This window comes from Homo sapiens, chromosome 7, assembly GCF_000001405.40.
Source record: "Homo sapiens chromosome 7, GRCh38.p14 Primary Assembly".
Classification (NCBI taxonomy): Eukaryota; Metazoa; Chordata; class Mammalia; order Primates; family Hominidae; genus Homo; species Homo sapiens.
This window is the reverse complement of record NC_000007.14, coordinates 131,411,928-131,432,351: the sequence shown is the minus strand read 5'-3', so window position 1 is coordinate 131,432,351 and position 20,424 is coordinate 131,411,928. Positions and strand designations below refer to the sequence as shown.

Here is a 20,424-nt window from a genome sequence, read left to right as displayed (position 1 = left end):
ATATGTATATGGTATAAAAAAATAACGGAATGAAGTTATCTACCCATACCAAGCTTTAGAAGAATAACATTTAATATTACCTTTAAACCCCCTACCCTCTCTGGATTTTGTATTTATCGTTCCCTTTTCTCTAGTATTAATTTCTCATTTAACTTACCTCACCTACTTACTCACTAAAGAGTAAGAACGTGCACATCCTTAAAATACATACATTTTAAAGAATATGATTCACGCCTTTAAGGAATTCAGATAGGGAAACATGAATATAAACCAATCATTATAGTAAGCCATCCAAGTATTAAAAGGGGTTAAGTGAGCACATCAAAGGAAGCTTTTAATTCTGCTTGGCAAGTTCAAGAAAGGCTTTACAGAGAAAGTGAAGTCTGAACTGAGTTTTAAAGAATAAGTGGGTATTTATTAGGTAAAGTTAGGGGGAGAGCCTCCCTCTGTTAATTCCAAACAAGGAAAACAACATTGCCAAAGGACACAGGCGAGAAAGTTGAATAATTCCAGCAACTTTAACTGGCACATGGGAGATGAGGCTGGAAAAGTAATTGAGTAGCAAATCTTGATGAGAAATTTCGAGTTTTTACTCTAAGCAAAAGGAAGTGAGATAAATAAATTGTTTTATTATTGTTGTTGTTATTTACAATTTCCTGTATCTATGCCCTTTAATAGTATCCTGCACCAACTGACTCTGGACTTGGTTACATGATTGCTTTTTGCTATCAGGGCAAGAAAAAAATTGATGGATTGCTCATGTCTACTTCATCCCCTTTGCAGCCCAGCACCTGCCATGAGAACAAGCTCTGGCTAGCCTATATAAAACAGAGCCAGGCAGTCCCAGCTGAAACCACACTAGACCAGCTGACAGATAGCTGACTCCTAGACAAATGAATGAGCCCGGCCAAACCAAAAGAATGACCGAGCCAACTTGTAGACTCATGAGCAAATAAATGCTTATTACTATATGCCACTGAAGTTTTTTGAGTGCTTGTAATGTAATAAACAGTGTAAACGATAACTGAAACAAAGGCTGAAGCTAACCACAGGGTTTAAGCAGAGGTGTCATAGGATCAAATATGGTATTTGGGGGACTTGTTTTTGGTTGTTTTTTTTTGTTTTTTTTTGAGACAGAGTCTCACTCTGTCGACCAGGCTGGAGCACAGTGGTGCCATCTCGGCTCACTGCAACCTCCGCCTCCTGGGTTCAAGGGATTCTCCTGCCTCAGCCTCCCAGCTAGCTAGGATTACAGGCACCTGCTACCATGCCCAGCTAGTTTCTATTTTTAGTGCAGATGGGGTTCCACCATGTTGGTCACAGGCTGGTCTCAAACTACTGAGCTCAGGTGATCTGCTGGCCTCGCTCTCCCGAAGTGCTGGGATTACAGGCATGAGCCACTGTGCCCGGCCTTGTTTTTGTTTTGAGACAGGGTCTTGCTCTGTCACCGAGGCTGGAGGCAATGACACTGTAATGGCTCACTGCAGTCTCCACCTCCAATCCTCAAGCAGTCCTCCTGCCTTGACCTCCCAAAGTACTGTGATTATAGGTGTGAGCCACCACACCGAGCCCAAATATGCTTTTTAAAGACTGTGTTGGTGAACACAGAATAGGTCAACAATGGAGATATAAAAAGCGTAAGAAACCATAAAGTTGAAAAAACTGCTAAAAGGAATGGAGAGGAAAAGACATTTGAAATGTGGTATTGGATGACCTGTTGGATCATGCCAGGCACTTGGAGAACTGTTGGATCTTAGGCACTAATTAGACACATTCACTGAAGAAGAGGGAGGATTTTAGGATGAAACCTAGGCTTAACACAAGAATAATTACAGATGTCATCGCCTTAGATTTACAATACTTTAGTAGAAAAAAGTTAGTTTTTTTTTTAATTTAAGATTTGTCTTTTGTTGTTGAAGACAGAAATAATCATTTCAGAGAACAGTACTTCAATACTGAAACAGGAAGGCCACTTACACATACTTTCCCGGGGTAAGAAAAGTAAATCAGAATTTCAACATCTATTTGAAAAAATAAAAACTGTCCAGTGATTAATCCCTGGACAGTTTTTATTAACATAATTTCAGAGTAAGCAAGAACCTAGTTCCCCAGGATTAACGACACAGCACTAGATCTTTGGAAATGGCCTTCCTAGATCAAAATCAGTGGGTTATGAATTAGGCCGTTTTATCTCCTTTTCATTTGAGGCTCCTACTGTTTTGTTATAGCTCATTTGTCACTTTATATCCTGAAACAGTTTAAATGGAGAGTGCAATTAAAATGTTCTATAAAGATTTGAAAAAATAATAAATGAATTAACATTTACTTTATTCCAGGATATAATCATGCACTTAATTCAAAGCCATAAACCTAAGCCATCTTATTCACTATGGAAATGCTTTATGTATATGTGCATACACAGATCTGTACATGCATACATATATACAATTTTTATTAAAGATAATATGTATCAGCCAGGCGCAGTGGCTCACGCCTATAATCCCAGTACTTTGGGAGGCCGAGGCGGGTGGATCACGAGGTCAGGAGATCGAGACCATCCTGGTTAACATGGTGAAACCCCGTCTCTACTAAAATACAAAAAAAAATTCGCTGGGCGTGGTGGCGGACGCCTGTAGTCCCAGCTACTTGGGAGGCTGAGGCAGGAGAATGGCATGAACCTGGGAGGCGGAGCTTGCAGTGAGTCGAGATGGTGCCACTGCACTCCAGCCTGGGCGATAGAGCAAGACTCCAAAAAAAAGATAATATATATCATTTATGAAAACTGACATATAGTAAAATAACAGGAGCCAAAATAGGGAGATAGTGAGTGTCAAAAACACAATATTCCAGAAGAAATAAAAATAAGATGAATGTTAAAAATAAGAATAGAGGTAGTGGAGACATAAGCAAAAAAGACAGTTACACAGTTACATTTCTAGGCTAAAGCAGTTTAAAAACAAAATGATATAAAAATCCCCATTCCTCACTCTCTCTCTCTCTATAAAACAGATTTGGTTGTGTATCAGTAGCTGAACAGCCAGTTATAGAAGCTGAAATTCAAGAGTACTTAAAAAAAACTTGTTTACCACAAATTCTATTGCTACTACTGCTGACAGACATTAGTGAAGAATATAATCATGCCGAAAAACAAGTGCACATCTACGCCCCTTCTGTAATATAGATGTATGAAAAGTCTGAGAACTTGCCTCTTTTTCAGTGTCTCTAGAGATACATGTCCACTGGTTCTCCTTCACACTGTACGCCCAGAAGTCAGCAAGATCTTGTGTTCCATCCCAGCCACCAAACAAATAAACAGTCTCTATGAAAATCAGAAAAATATGTGTAAAAAAAAAAGGACAAAATAAGCATAAGCACCCAAACCTAGCCAGCTGTTTCTAAGGCCACTTAAGAAGCTACATCTAAATAAATTTTAAAATAAAAATTTTAACCTGGTAACTTTCTCAAATATATACTAGACTAATATTTCCTAGGCATGAATATATGAAAAGGATGCTGCAGAACCATTATTTTGAGAGATTTATAAAAATACAGATAACTAGGAGGCATGTCCCAAGATTCTGATTCCACAGGTTTTCAATGGGTAAAAATGGGTCTGTATTTGTAAAGTATCCCAGAAAAATTTAACGTGCAGCTGGTTTGGAGTTTCTGTGTTTGGCCTTGAAAACTTTACATTTACCAGCTTTTTAATAATGCAGCCACTTTTTATCCACTATGGAATTTTTTAATTCAGATTCTAAAAAATAAAACCCCCAGAGGAATATATAGTGTAAAAGTACAGCATAAGAACATTTAGCTGTTTTTGAAAAAAGTCATATTAAAGGCAATTTCTCTCTATTGCTATATCAAAAACAATGGTTAAAACTAGCTTTAAGTTAAAATTAGATATCTTAAGAAAAAGTGATCCACAGCTTTGATATTCCTATAAAAACTGGGAGAAATTTTTCCAGATATATTGTGGTACATTTAACTCATCAGAAATTATCCTTTAAGTCATTCTAAGTATCTTGAGAATTTGGTTTCTTCTGACTCTGAAATGTCTATTATATTCACAGACTTTACCGCTGACAAAACTGATTTTCTTCTTCAGTGAATAATGAATCTTTACATATAACATTGTGTATCATAGATCCTTCTTTATTTTTATTATTTATTTATTTATTTATTTTGAGACACGGTCTCTCTCTGTTGCCCATGCTGGAGTGCAGTGGTGCAATCATGGCTCACTGCAGCCTCCTGGGTTCAAGCAATCCCTCCACCCCAGCCTCTCGAGTAGCTGGGACTACAATAATGTGCCACCATGCCCAGCTAACTTTTTTTGGGGGGGTGGGGGTTACAGACAGGGGCTCACTATGTTGTCCAGGATGGTATTGAACTCCTGGCCTCAAGCAATCCTCCCACCTCAGCCTCCCAAAGTACCAGGATTATAGGCATGAGCCACCCCATTCAGCCCCTTCTTCATGCAATAATAGGCGTTTCCAATTTGGCACAGTGGCTCATGCCTGTAATCCCAGCACTTTGAGGGGCTGAGGCAGGTGGATCACAAGGTCAGGTGTTTGAGACCAGCCTGGCCAACATAGTGAAACTCCGTCTCTACTAAAAATACAAAAAAATTAGGCAGGTGTGGTGACGGGCACCTGTAATCCCAACTATTCGGGAGGCTGAGGCAGGAGAATCACTTGAACCTGGGAGGCAGAGGTTGCAGGGAGCTGAGATCACATCACTGCACTCCAGCCTGGGGTGACAGTGTGAGACTCTGTCTCAAAAAATGAAAAATAAAAAAAAAGTTGTTTCCTTTCTTCAAATATTTCCCCCTTTGTAACTGTTTTAAGTCTACCAGTTGTATAAGCCCACCAATTATTATCTTTTAATGTTAAATAAAACACTATACGAAAACTGTAAAGTCATGTACTCTCTAACTAACACGCTTTAGGCCTGTACATATGGAAGCTGTCATCTAAGTTACATCCCACCATGCAGGGTTACAATTCAAAGTGTACTTGGAAATGCTAGAAGACTATTTAAGAAAACCTTTTGCCATTCACAGAGTTAGGCTATCTTCTACAAGATTTCTGTCATATCTGCATATAATTTCAAACTCTAAGTAAATTTTTCAAGTGATTTGTCTCTTCTATCCCCCAAATACCACGGGAAATAAAAAAATGCTTCACTGCTTTCTGGATAAGAACAGGCCACTGGAGCAGGACTGAGTTCTAGTACTAACTGGGTGATCAGTACAGGTCATTTAAGCTCCCTAGGTTTTAGTTTTTTTCATCTGCAAAACTCTCAGTGTTGTCAAGTCCTTCAGATATAAGTTATATGAGGCCAGGCATGGTGGCTCATCTGAGATTGGGAGTTTGAGACCAGCCTGGTCAACATGGTGAAATCCCGTCTCTACCAAAAATACAAAAATTAGCCTGGCATGGTGGCACACATCTGTAATCCCAGCTACTCAAGAGGCTGAGGCAGGAGAATCACTTGAACTCAGGAGGTGGAGGCTGCAGTGAGCTGAGATCGCACCACTGCACTCCAGCCTGGGCAACACAGCGAGACTCCATCTAAAAAAAAAAAAGTTACATGAAAACATTCTGAAGGCTGTCAAGTATGAACATCATTTCCACCTTTAAAATATACATAAAAATGAAAAACACTCTGTAGTTACTAAGTACAATAAAAATGATATTATAACTGACTACATGTCTAATTCAGTACATAAAACACTTTTGGCACTGTATAAGTGTGAAATAATGCCAATTATTTTAAACTACAAAAAAAACACTGTCCTATCTTGGAACTATAAAACAATCCATTATCATCGTTAAGTAACATTCTGTTTCCAAAATGGCACACAGTAATACTCAGACACATAATTTTACAGAAAAAAAAAATTAAAGAATTTTCATCTGGCTTAAAAATTATTTGCCAAGTCCTCACTATAAAGGAAATTAACCCTGTTAAATTCTGAAGCCTGGAGAGGGGGTATATAACTAAAATAGCAATAGCAATTGACCTTTTGTTTTATAGTGTTTCTGGGCACCCTCTGGATAAGGTTACCCTGGTTCATTAACTTTAATAACCCTTCCTCTTGGGCTCTGGGTTCTCAATGTTCTTTCTGAAAAGCAGGTCTCTTTGTACGCATAAATTCTCACAGCAAAGAAAACCCACATTTCCACAACAGCCTCATTGATAGCTGAGCAAAATAAAATCTGGCACGCAGTAAGCATCCTAATGGAATTAAGCCAAGATGTCATTCCTATCCATGAAAGCTTTGTGGTCCCAGCTGAAGTTTAATAGTAAAATTAAATGAATCGGATGGAAACTGAGCCTTCTGACATACCTGAATGAAAATGCGTAACAAAAATTTTAATTAATTCATCTAATTATTTAAGTCATGCAAAGAAGAACTATTATCCAGAAACAGACACCAGAAAAGGTATTATTTAATGCACAAAGGATATCAAAGACCTTTAAAAATTATGGATATAATTGGAGAGAACTGTAGAGAGAAGGAAGTAGAAAGAAAAAAGAAAGCATTAATATTTGCAGTAGGGTAGTAGATTGGTTTATGGAAGCCCATTCTCATGCTTATAGGTTCTATAATAATTCATGTACATCTGGGGTAGTACGATCCTCTTCAAGGAGCAACCCCTTCACCCCTTCTCTATATTTTTTCTGAATGGGATATAGGCTATAGTGTCTATCCATTTCTCCCAGCACTTTGAGGAATGTTTATTCAACACTTTTTGAGTACTGAGAATTCGCAAAGCACTTTAGAGAATTCAAAAGAAAGAAGACATAGTCCCCAGTCCCTATCCTCAAGGAACTTACAATCTAGCCAAGAATATCAAAAGGCAAATAGAGCAACATAACGCAGGGCAGACTAAATGTCATAAGAAAGATAAACAAGGTAAAAAGCACCATGAGGGTTCAAAAGAGGGAAGACAGTATATCTGGCTGAGGGGACTCAGAAGAGATTTCATGGTAACAGTGGTATTTGACCTATGCACCAGCAGGAAGGCAGGATACAGAACAAAAAAAAAAGAGGGCTTTTCAAACAGAGTAAAAAGAATAGCAAAAGTATAGAGACAGAAAAACACGTCAAAAGTGTTTTAATGAACATGTACTCTAGTCAGGCAGATCTTGGCTACAATCCTGGCTCTATCACCACAGCTATGTGACCACCACACAGTTCCTTAACTATTGGTTTCTTAATCTCTAAGATGTGATACAGTATCTATCCCATAAAGCTGCTGTGAGAATTAAATTAAATTAAATAATGCATGTTAAATGGTTAAACTGTGTGATGAATAAATACACTGTTTGATTTAAAAGAACACATAGGTAGGAGGTGGAGAGGAGGTTAAAAGACAGGTGTGTCCAGATCATGGAAGGGATTAAATAACAGGATAAAGACTTTGAACTTGACTCCACACAGACAGTGGAGAAGCCACAGAAGATCTTAGGCAGAGGGGTAGCAAGGTAACATCTGAACTTGCAGCATACAGGACTGACTGAAGGAGTTGAGAATGACAGGGATTGGAGGTAAAGTGGCCTATGTTCGAAACGGCAAACAAATTTCATTCTAAAACACTGAGTCAATCACCAATCAATCTATTTTTCATTACTTAGGCCACAAAAACTAAAATTCAACCACATTCTTTGGTATAGTACATGTACCAATTTGGTACCAGTATAAAACAAACCCTGGAGCTACCGACTACCAGTAGTACCAATCTACACATCTTATATGCACTAAAAATAATGTAGAAATGTAAGGTATATAAAGACATCTCAGTGTCTTTTTGCACAATGGAATAGGCTTTTTATTTTTAGTGCCCAAGTGCAATATCTGTCTTCTACTTTGATTTTTAGGATAAATCAGACTGTGCTGATTGCATAATCCTCCACAAGATGGCACACTACTTTTGTAATTAAATCAGTTTTTCCACTCTGACACTGTATAGGATGTGTATACTACGCATTGACATAGCCTGGGCCCAAAACTTAGACAAAATTCATGTATCAAAAAGAAGAGGCAGGGGAAGGGTTAACAGGCTGGTGAAAGAAGTTACCTTAATTCTTAGTTAAGACACCGAGAGAAAAAAATTTTTTAAAAAAAGGTTTTAAGAAACAAATTTATCTTTAAGATAGAAATAAAACTCTATAATATTTAGATAGAGTCTGAATGCTTCTAAAAGTGAAGTTCAGTAAGACTTAAATTAACATGACAATTTTTGAAGACAGAAATATTTTTGAATTTTTTGAAGAGGGGAAAAATATTTTATATGCTCTTTACCTTTCCCTTCTTAAGCCATCCCCTTGAAGTATCATGACCCAGCAGATCATCAACTGAATTCACTGCCTCCCTTTTTAAATAGAACTGTATTCTTACATAAAGCTATGATTACAACACTATCTAAATCTTTTGGGTGAATTCAACATACAGTTACTTTCCTTACTAAAAGGCTGAATTGTTATGCCTATGACAATATACTTTGTATTCCTAATGAAGTCTGCATTTCAGAATTCTTTCTGTTAACAGTGTAAAAGAAAGATGCACATTACTTTCAGAAGTACAGCCATATGAATAAATTTGTAATAGCAACCAAAACCCATGTTTAGGCACTCTCTTCAAAAGTTTCTTTAAGGAACATCAAGAAAAACTATGTGGTACCACATGTAAAAAAATAAAAGCACTTTCAGGCCGGATGTGGTGGCTCACTCCAGTAATCCCAGCACTTTGGGAGGCCGAGGCAGGCGGATCACCTGAGGTCGGGAGTTCGAGACCAGCATGACCAACATGGAGAAAGCCTGGCTCTACTGAAAATACAAAATTAGCCAGGCGTGGTGGCACATGCCTGTAATCCCAGCTACTCAGGAGGCTGAGGCAGGAGAATCACTTGAACCCAGGACGTGGAGGTTGCAGTGAGCTGAGACTGTGCCATTGCACTCCAGCCTGGACAACAAGAGTGAAACTCCATCTCAAAAAATAAATAAATAAATAAAAATAATAATAAAAGCACTTTCATATAATAGCTACAGAACAGTTAAAGGTTCAAATTTCTACAGAAAGGCTCTTCCAAGTGACAAGCAACTCTCCATCAACTTCTTTTGTAGATACCAAATATTAGAGCTTTGCCTAAGTCTTCATACCTATTCTGATTGAGAAAGAAGAAAAAGGCTTAAATCGTAGGTTCTCAGAACGTAATGAGAGTTACACAACAAGGAACAGCCTAACACAATGGAAATTTATTAATATATTTCTAACTCAACAGACTTCCACACTGAAACAAAATAGACGTGGCTTTTCTCTTTCTATTCACTGTTCTTTTCCCAGTCGAAACCCAAGTCACAGTTGAAGAATCTTAAGTGGAGAGGTGCCAGGTATAGGGATTACAATTAATAAAACTGATCCAGTAGGACAAATTCAGTAGGACAGAATACAACATTCCTTCTCTACCATGGCATGAATGATAGGATTCCCTTAGGAGGGAAGAAAGCTTTGAAAATTAAATAATAAAATTTGTGCCATCATACACCTTTTAAAATGGTCACTGTATCCTTAGAGAAGACAGCAATATGGGAAAAAAAAAACCCTACAGACTAAAAAAAGAAAACAAAAGCTAGGTACTATTAAGTTTCTAATATCTAAGAAAACAAGGTATATGAGACACCGGGAAGCAACAATTGCTTTAAAATATAAGCCATGTTAAATAAGCTGAAATTAACTTTATGAAGTTTTACTCTAGTGAAGGTGTTCTTTTTTTAAAACAATTTCCGGAGACAGAATCTTGCTCTGTCGACTGGACTGGAGTGCAGTGGCACAATCATAGCTCACTGCAGCCTCGAACTTCTGGGCTCAAGCCATCCTCCTCAAGCCTCAGCCTCCCACAGAGCTGGGACTACAGGCACATGTCACCATGCCTGGCTAACTAAAAAAAATATTTTGCAGAGACAGAGGTCTTGCTGTGTTGCCCAGGCTGATCTCGAACTCCCAGCCTCAAGTGATCCTTCCACCTCAGCATCCCAAAACTCTGGGATTATAGGTATGAGCTACCATGTCTGGCCAGTGTTCTTAATTTTGTGAGTTAGTAAGAGTCTCTTTGATTATCTGAAGCCACAGATTTTCTTCCTAGAAAAAATTTGCAAACAGACAACATGTTGCACCTAACTTCAACAGATAAAGAATCCTTGTGCTAGAAAACTTTAAAATGCATACTTAAAGTAATAACTGGGCTTCTTTAAACTATATTTTACTACTTATGCACCAGTTTTGTTAACATGGAATTTCCTGGTTGTTCAAACTCTACTTAGAGAAAGTTATTCTTCACTACTAAACCTACCTGATCTTCATCAAGAAAATTCTTATATGCACTTTAGTATTTTGTCTCAAAAATATTATAAATATATTTATGGTGTCCCTTCCTAAGGCACCAATTATATAAAAGATTAAACAAATATACCAAAATAACATTGGTTTTTTAGAATGTGGAATTATGAGTGAGTTACTTTTTCCCCTCAACACTGCTTTTCAAGTTGTTTTAAACTTTTTCACAAACTTTTTAATTACTTTAAAACATTTCCATAGTGAAATTTTGTCAAATTATGCAAAAAACACACAAAAGAAAATTCCTTTGAGTCATATAAAATTCTCTCAGCATAATTAATCACTGCTGCATATTAATATATGGCATATCAAATGCATGTTATATAAATAATATATGCACATACAAAATACATTATTTCATTTAACTCTCACAATTACTTAGTTTATTATCACCATTTTAATCAATACAATTCATTCAAGATCGAATAAGAAGTCAGGGGTAGAGCCAGGATTCAATCCCAGGGATGTCAGACACCCAACTCTCCTTCCCACAAACTTAACACCTACCTATTATATGTGGCTGCCATATCATTAAGATCTGACTAGAAAGGTTCTTTCAAAGATTGATGATAAATACAATCTCTTTGAAAGTGATTAAGATCAACCTGATAATTAAGGTAACTGCTGATCAATAACAGGGCTATGGTACCTAAATGATTAAATAGATACTTAGAGTATATGAAAGCCCTCAGTAAATTATGCTACTAATAGTCATAATAGAAACACAGAAGAAATTTTGGAGAGAAAAACCCAAGGATACACCAGATTGTGCACTTGAGCCCAAACCAAGTTCAGAAAGCAACAAATTTTACTTTAACAAATGCAAAGCTCTATATTTAGTTTTTCTACCTAGATCCCGAAGTAATGATAATTACAGCTTTGGGAAGCATAGTCTAAATGGCATAACAAGTAGAATCTGAAAATTTAAATATGTTCGAATATAACCAATAAAACAGATCCACCACAGAAAATATTAGTATAATAAATGACATAATAACCTGATCTACTTATCAAGGTTTACAGCAGTATCTGAATACAGTTTCCAGGTAAATATTTTTCTTTCTACTCAAAGGAAAATGAATTTTAAAACTTTGATCCAATCCAACAAATATTTAGTGCACATCTACTCCATTCTAGCCTCTATAGTCATAAAAATAAATAAGGCAAGATCCCTGTCCTTCCCCCCTTGTCCATGGGGGCTGGGAAGCTGGAGAGACAGCAATGGTATATACAATACTTGTGTGAACAACTCTAAAACAATGTGGAAATTATTGTAGTAATAATGGTTTGAACAGTGTTACATAAATGTAGAGGGAATTATTACTTTGGTTAGATCTATCTCCTGAACCTCAAACTAATATATCCAACTGCTTACTTGACATACCTATGTAGATGTCTAATTGGCATCTCAGACTTAACTTGTCTAAAATCAAGTTGCTGAACAACCCACCATATTACCATATTGGATCCTCTTGTTGTACCCATCTTAGAGAATGGTTACACCATTTTTCTAATTGCTCAGGTCAAAACTTTAAGTCATCCTTAGCTTCTTTTTCTCACACTTCTCATCCAGTTCATCAAAAAATCCTGTCAGCTCTATATGATACCTTTTTTTTTCTAGTTTCTCTCTCTCTCCCTGCCACCATGTGCTCCCCCTCTCTCTTTTTCTCTTTCACCTTCTCATACTCACTAATAGCTACTCTTTCATAAGCAGCCAGCTGATGGGCTCATTCCACATACTATCTTTTTTTTTTTTAATTATACTTTAAGTTTTAGGGTACATGTGCACAACACGCAGGTTTGTTACACATGTATACATTTGCCATGTTGGTGTACTGCACCCATCAACTCGTCATTTAGCATTTATATGATACCTTTTAAAATACATCCAAAATGTGACCAATTTTCAACATTACTACTACCATTCTAGTATAAGCCAATGCTATAATCACTTCTCAGGTGAGCAATAGGATCCTTAAAGGACTCGCTGCCCTTCACTCAATTTGTTTTGTTAAAATGCAAGGTCAGTTCATAGCATTTCTTAAACCCAACAATGGCTTCCCACTTCACTCTGCATGTAGGTTAAAGTCCTAAACAAAGTCCTAAAAAACTCAACACAGTTTGTGCCCCCAGCTATTTCTCTGATTTCACCTCTTCCCACTCTCTTTCTCTGACTTCACCTCTTCCCACTCTCTTTCTCACATACCTCTGATCTAGCAACAAAAATTCTGGAAAAAAAACCAAGAGTAGTAGAAAGGTGGCAATGTTTTACTTTGTAATAATATCAGTTCAATAATGAATATCACCTGTATGAAGACACTTTATTTGAATACCTGGTTCAGCAGTACTTACCATAAAATGTCAATTAAGATAGGGATTAAGTCCTTTAAGAATATCTGTAATGAGGCCAGGCACGATGGCTCATGTATGTAATCCTGGCACTTTGGGAGGCCAAGGCAGGATGATCACCTGAGGTCAGAAGTTCAAGACCAGCCTGGCCAACATGGCACAACAATGTCCTACTAAAAATACAAAAATTAGCTGGGCGGGCGCCTGTAATCCCAGCTACTCGGGAGGCTGAGGCAGGAGAGTCACTTGAACCCCGGAGGCAGAGGTTGCAGTGAGCCGAGATCATGCCACTGCACTCCAGCCTGGGCAACAGAGCGAGACTCTGTCTCAAAAAAAAAAAAAAAACAAAAATATATATATATATATATACATATATATATGTAATGAATCTTCCCAGAAAACTACACAAAAACAAAAATTTTGCACACCGTTTAAAGACTATCATGGGCTCCCTTAAAATCTATTCATGAAGCTTCATGTAAACAAACATGAAATAGCCAAAGGACTGAGAACAGAACAAAAAATCGACAGCAATAGCTAGCTGAAATAAAAGATTGGGAATGCCAAGGCATGAAAGTTGTTAGACTTCTGAATAGTATTTTCTGATTTCTTTTGTTTTCTCTTGATCAGAGTCCTGGATTACCCAGTCACAACTAGAGACCTGTTTAATTTAACCTGAACCATAATTTCAGTCTTGTGAAAGTTCAGAGCTTTTCCTATTGAGTTCCAGGGCATGTTTCCTCATATTTCTGCTTCCAGACATTGGAATCCACAGAAGTTGCCTCACTACTGTCCTACCTCAGTTTGAACCCCAAACCTAATTGTCTCACCAGTATCTACCAAAAAATAAGTAAATAAAAATCAACTCCCAAATCAATTTTACTAGAGAAAACTTCTAAGAATTTGGTGAGTAAAGACAGAGTCATGTCATGAAATGTGGCATTCTGCCATCCTGCTGGCTCTACTACCACTTATCTCAAGCTTGTCCAACCTGTGGCCCATGGGCTGCATGAGGCCCAGGATGGCTTTCAATGTGGCCCAAGACAAATTTGTAAACTTACTTAAAACATTAAGAGACTTTTTTTGTGATTTTTTTTGTAAGCTCATAAGCTATTGTTAGTGTATTTTATGTGTGGTCCAAGACAATTCTTCTTCCAATGTGGCCCAGGGAAGCCAAAAGATTGAACACCCCTGATTTATCTCTCTTTTTTTTTTTTTTTTTTTTTTTGAGACGAAGTCTTGCTCTTGTCTCCCAGGCTGGAGTGCGATGGCGCAATCTCGCCTCACTGCAACCTCCGCCTCCCAGGTTCAAGTGATTCTCCTGCCTCGGCCCCCCGAGTAGCTGGGATTACAGGCACCTGCCACCATGCCCGGCTAATTTTTGTATTTTTAGTAGAGATGGGGTTTTACCATGTTGGCCAGGCTGGTCTAGAACTCCTGACCTCAGGTGATCCACCCACCTCGGTCTCCCAAAATGCTGGGATTACAGGCGTGAGCCACCGTGCCCGGCCATCTCTATTTCTTGTTCCATTTCTCTGGTGCTAACGAGACAATTTCTCTTAGTGTTACAAAAATAGTTCCTTCTACAATCAGGTCTCAGTATTTTACTTTGTACTCCAAAGCACCTTCACAAATAAATACAGTTCTTTTCCTAAAAAGAATGCTGTTGAGTAAAATTTTCTCCAACTTATAATTAAGTAGAAATTTTAAAAATACATTTTAAATAAAAAAATTTTAAATCACTGGTAATTGTACCACCAGACGTAACTAACGTCAATATTTTGGTATGTGTCCTTCTAGTCTTCCCCTCTATAGTGAATGATAAATTTAAAACGAATCATCACTTCTATCCCTATTTCTGTACTAAGATATCAAAATGTCGACAAAAGGTTTCAGATAGCTCTTCTTGGAAACATATTTTTTGAACGTAAAAAATAAAAACAAAAAAACAGAAGAGGAATTCCACCTCCAAATGTTTTATATGCCATCTCTATTACTGATATCAAGGACCACCTGAATCTGGTGAAATCCTTTCGACCTCAATGTCCACGTATAGTTAGTACTGTTTCCACACTATATGTGGCAATGGTAACATACTGAAAAGCATGAGAACTTGAGCAACAGACAACTGTATATTAAATGACCACCCATGATTTCTTTTAAAGGCTGAAAAATCTAGTTTTGTCATCAACCATGGGCCTAAATAAAGTTTGACCCAGAATTCATAACGAATAAAAGAAAAAAAGAAAGCACTCCAAATAGGTACAAAATGGCTCTAACTAAAATATCTACTAACAGGATAATTCCCCAGATTTTCTTTGGTAGAAATATTTGCTTAAAAGTGTATTTCTAAAGTACTTCTGTAGCTTTCTATAAACTAGTGTCAATATTGAAGTGTGGATATAGGCCGATTTTTCTTTGTACACCTTCACTAACCTATAATAAATCCTTAGAAGCTATCAAAAAGAGATTACTCTTTTAAAGGTCCCATCTGGAGTAAAATTCCATGACTACAATAGTCATTCTCGCTACGCTTTCTTATAATTTCTAAAGTAAATCTAGTAGTTACTCAAATAACATTTTTCCTCTTTGAGTTTTTTTTTTTTTTTTTTTTTTTTGACAGGGTTGCGCTTTGTTGCCCAGGCAGGTGTGCAGTGGTGTGATGATGGCTCACTGTAGCCTCCAATCCTGGGCTCAAGCAATCCTTCTGACTCAGCCTCTCGAGTAGCTGAGACTACAGGCATACACCACCACATCCAGCTGATTTTTTTATTTCTTATAGAGATGGGGGTCTCACTATGCTGCCTAGGCTGGTCTTGAACTTGTGGGATCAAGGGATCCTCCCCCTTTGGCTTCCCAAAGTGTTGCAACTACAGTCACGAGACAGTCACTGTGCCTAGCTGAAATATTTTTTTAAAGGGAGTAGGGGTAAGGACCCTGACCATCAAGACTTTGCTGAAATCCTACCCCTAATGCATAAAACAAAAATATTATAGAAAAATATCTAGGCCTTTGCGCCACTGCACTCCAGCCTGGGCGACAGAGCAAGACTCCATCTCAAAAAAAAAAAAAGAAAGAAAAATACCTAGGCCTTTATAACTTTATTGTAAGTATTTCAAGGCTCTCTGACCTGAAAAGTTAGATTTTAATTCTCAATGACTTGCTCACACTAAGTTCTGTCATGACATTTGCCTATTCTTTGAATAATTTTCTGTTTTCGAATTTCATGGATTATAAAAAGAGGAAAATTTTTTTGTCTTTCTTACACATGTACTTTACCTATCACATATGGTTCATCTCTCATAATAATTAACACAGTAAGCACTATGAAAATTCCTTCTGCCTCCCCAGATAAGGTGAACTTTAAATGTTAAAGTAAACCATATTACTTTTATATTTAAGGAAAGTGCATTTTGCTTTAAAAGGTAAAGGCTCCTTTCAAATAAACATAGATTTAGTATATTATTATAGCAAACTACAACCAAATTTGTTTGAAAGGGTGGGCCGGACATGGTAGCTCACACCTGTAATACAAGCACTTTGCGAGGTTGCAGCAGGCGGACTGCTTGAGCCCAGGAGTTCAAGACCAGCCTGGGCAACATGGCAAAACCTCATCTCTATTTTAAAAAAAGGTTGGGCAGGGGAGGGGTGTTTAATAATATTTTCCTTATAGTACTGATGGAGAAAAAAGAAAAGCATTACAAATTCTACTCTATGTTCAAAAAAAGGGGAAGCTACTGTGTAGACAATCTAAAAACAAATTTTCATGTCTATATTCATAAATAATTATTCTGGATAAAAAACCAGTTTGTATATAAATCTAGCTCTTTAGTAAATAAGCATATGAATATTTATTATACTCTCAGGCAGAAAAAAAGATGCCTAAGACTCTATAGCTAATTCAAGCCTATTTCTGCAGGGCAGAAAGGCATTTGGAAAGAGGGACCAAAATTAAGAAAGTGAATTCCTATACCTTAAAAATGAACCTTTTCCAAAGAGACCCTAATAACAGTCTCAAACCAGTTCAGAGGTTATCATAGAAATTTAGCTTTTAATTTTAAATTAAAAATTATAATTTCTCTTCTTACAAAAATTATGAAAATAAATTCATGTCAAGAAGACTTAGTGTCTACATTGTAACCATTTTTATTCTTAATTATTTTAGAATATGAGTCTCCAAGCAATTATTTTATTCCCGAAGCACTATGAGTTGGCATAACACACAGTATAATTGAGCATTCATTACGCCTGGAAAGAGTGGTATTCTATGCAGTAAAGTTTTCTAAAATCCAATAATAAAATATAGCTATGGTAGATTATTGGTATTATTTGCTTTTTAAGCTGCTAATCTGAGACCTATTATAATGTTGGCATTAACCTCTAAATATTATGGTAATTAAGTTTTCCTAGGTTTTAGAAACTTAAAAAAAAGTTTGCTACCAAGCTTCAGAACAAAATTTAAAAGACAGGAAAAAAAAAAACAAAACCAAACAAAAAACAACAACTAAATTATTTACAGGCTTGTGAACAGTTTTTAGCAATTAATGGACTTACCAACACTTAGCTGCCTAATTTGATATCTGCTTCCTCTAAAAATATATCTTAGTTCTCTTTATTCCAGTAATTCCCATATTACTCTACTATATAAGTGCAACAAAAATCCAGAAATACACCAGTTTTCCATGAAAATACAACACATATAAACTAGACACATACACACACATACAGACACACATAAAAGGCCGCATGTTAAACTTTTTTTAGGTAATCTAATTTCATTTGTGTAAGAGCCCCCCACCCCCCGCCCCTTCCTTACCTGCCACTGCCTGGTTTAGACGATGCCTGTAGCCAATGAAGATTTTGCTTTCCACTGCAACTGCTACTCACCTGTTTGAACATCAATAACCATCTGATGGCCTCCTCTCATTCCTGGACGGTTATCTTCCCCATCACCTTTAGAAGAAATAATAGTTTCTTTTAAAGGAATAACAAAGAACAGCATATCCAGAGTAAATTTATTCATAAGTCTGTAATCAGTAGTAAAAATAACCCACCCTTATTTTTTCAAAATATTAATAAGTAAAAGGACTCATAAAAGTAACAGTATGACTCAAATCTGTGTTTATAATAATCTTGTTCTTTTTTCCAAATGCTTTCAGGACATTAATGAACTTGGAAGTTATTTTTGATTTATTTATGATCAATGCCACAAACCAGCAAAGACACAGAATATTATACAAAAACATAAAACAAAAATCTCTAAGCTACTTGAGTGCCAAAGTGAAGGTCAAAAACAATTACAAAATTAGATCTCCCGTATATATTCTAGGCATAGTTCATTAGTATGATGAGCAGTTTTAAAGTCGAGTTATCAAACTATTTACTGAAAACAAAGATGCTATCAAGTTTTATATTAATGATATTAATTTTGTATAATGTATACAATTATTTTGTAAAATTTTTGTATAATTTTGTACTTTGTGTAATTATTTTATATAACTTTGTATAATGTATAATGTATTAATTTTGTGCCAATATTTCAGCAATCAGTTCCCACCTAATTTACCAACTATTTTATGTAAGAACTGACTGAGGAAATCTAAGATTTACTTCACTTTGATTCTTATTTCCATCACAGAGCTTAATAGGCAGGTTTAAATACAATCAGTAAAACTTTATTTAAACTTCCAAAAGAGAACACTATTATTCAACTTGTATCTAATCTTACTTTACACCAAATCTTACATAAATAAAGTTATGGCCGGGCGCGGTGGCTCAAACCTGTAATCCCAGCACTCTGGGAGGCCAAGGTGGGTGGATCACCTGAGGTCAGGAGTCCACGACCAGCCTAGCCAATATGGTGAAACCCTGTCTCTACTAAAATACAAAAATTAGCCGGGCATGGTGGTGGGTGCCTGTAATCCCAGCTACTCAGGAGGCTGAGGCAGGAGAATCACTTGAACTCAGGAGGCGGAGGTTGCAATGAACCGAGTTTGCACCACTGCACTCCGGCTGGGCAACGAGAGTAAGACTCCATCTCAAAAAAAAAAAAGTTATAAATTAATTTCAGTAGTTCAAAAGGTTGTAAGATTCTAATGTCTTACTTGATATGAACTAGAAAGCCTAAGGCTTTCTTCATAATTCTCCTATTAGTTGAAATATATTACTTTGGCTAATAAGTTTCCCTGTATTGGCTTTCTCCTAATGTAAAATTGAGAATATCCAATTTTATACTAATTTTACAAGGGTGCTATGAAAATGACTGAAATGTCAGTTCTTATATACAGAAAATAAGATACAAAACTGAAGCTTTTCATTACTACTGTATTCAGCGGCTAATCATCCAGAAGTTCCCTCCAAATCCTTTATCCTAATAGTTAAGCCTTTAGATTGTGCAATTTATTATCATTGAAGCTTTGCCCTTTTCTTCTTTCCTTCCCTCATCAGTCAGTACCGTATCGCCATCTTTAAGAATAGATTTAGAAAGCATATTCACCCCTGAGAGGTCTGAGGGAAAAAAGAAAGCACTAAAATGAATTCATTTTCAGTATGTTTGTATTTTATATGTTGAATCCATTAGTTTGCAAATACACAATTACTGTCTGTTTGCTATAATATGTGTGTCTTTGAAGAAAATTACCTCATACATGACTGATAAAATAGGAGAATGATGTTCATGTAACATCAATTATGGAGGTTCTTAAGCAATTTTCCCCTGCATATTAATATGCAATACTATCAGGAGAAAGCTTTCTCACAACTAAAGAGAAGTCCTTAGTAATATATGAAGACCACAATGAAAAAAGCTCAGTATCCATAGAACTGCCTTCCTTTAACACAAACAGTTGCATTAAGAAATTGCTACACTTTCCACTATGTTAATTATCTGGCAAAGCAGTGAGTACAGATGAAGAAGTGACAAAACCTCCCCCCTTATATGAAAATAAGGTATTCATGAAGAAGACTATACTCTGGATCCGATTTCAAGTTTTGATGAAAACAGTCTTTATTAGAAGCAAATGCCCTCTAGGATCTACATTTCAAAGACAGAGGCATGAGCCCAGGGCTTAAGTCTCTAAACACACTATGATGTTCAATATAAATACCTAATTTAAATGTACTGATATTTATTTTTATTACAATTATTACACTAGTTTTTATTAGTAGCTGGTTATAAAGTTCCACAGATTTAGAATGGTCTTCTGCCTTTCTATTTTTCTTATATGCCTTGCTAGGTTTAGCAAATAATTTTGCATAACTTAAGGTTTTCAAGAACATGTGTATGGCATTACAACACAGCCTATAATTTTACACCATGCCTCTAACAAAGCAGTTTATAATGATATTCTGTGTAAAAGCTGCCCAACCTTCTGTTACGGCAGTAAATCAAAAAGGTTTAAAAAGAAAATTTTAATATAACAAATGAATTGTGCCACCTAGTTAAGGAACCTATGCCTTGTTTTAAACATCTGCTTTTTATTTATTTTGCTGTGGTTATTGTTTTGTTTTTTGAGACAGAGTCTCGCTCTGTTGCCCAGGTTGAAGTGCAGTGGTATGAACACGGCTGACTGCAGCCTTGACCTCCCAGGCTCAAGCCACCCTTCTACCTCAGTACCCTAAGCAGCTGGGACCACAGATGCCTGCCAACATGTCTGGCTAATTTTTTTTTT

The 20,424-nt window shown here is 36.6% G+C and overlaps 1 protein-coding gene across 7 annotated transcripts in view; it reads right to left on the bottom strand.

Moving 5' to 3' along the window:
- MKLN1 (muskelin 1) overlaps positions 1 to 20,424 on the bottom strand; it is a 386,539-nt gene that overhangs the window by 64,281 nt on the left and 301,834 nt on the right. For all 7 annotated transcript variants that reach the window (NM_001145354.2, XM_047420401.1, NM_001321316.2 and 4 more), the window contains 2 exons: positions 17,642 to 17,707; positions 3,207 to 3,319 (listed from right to left, as the gene is read on the bottom strand). In NM_001145354.2, the coding sequence (NP_001138826.1) occupies positions 3,207 to 3,319; positions 17,642 to 17,707 (179 nt within the window). The remainder of the gene's footprint in view (positions 1 to 3,206; positions 3,320 to 17,641; positions 17,708 to 20,424) is intronic.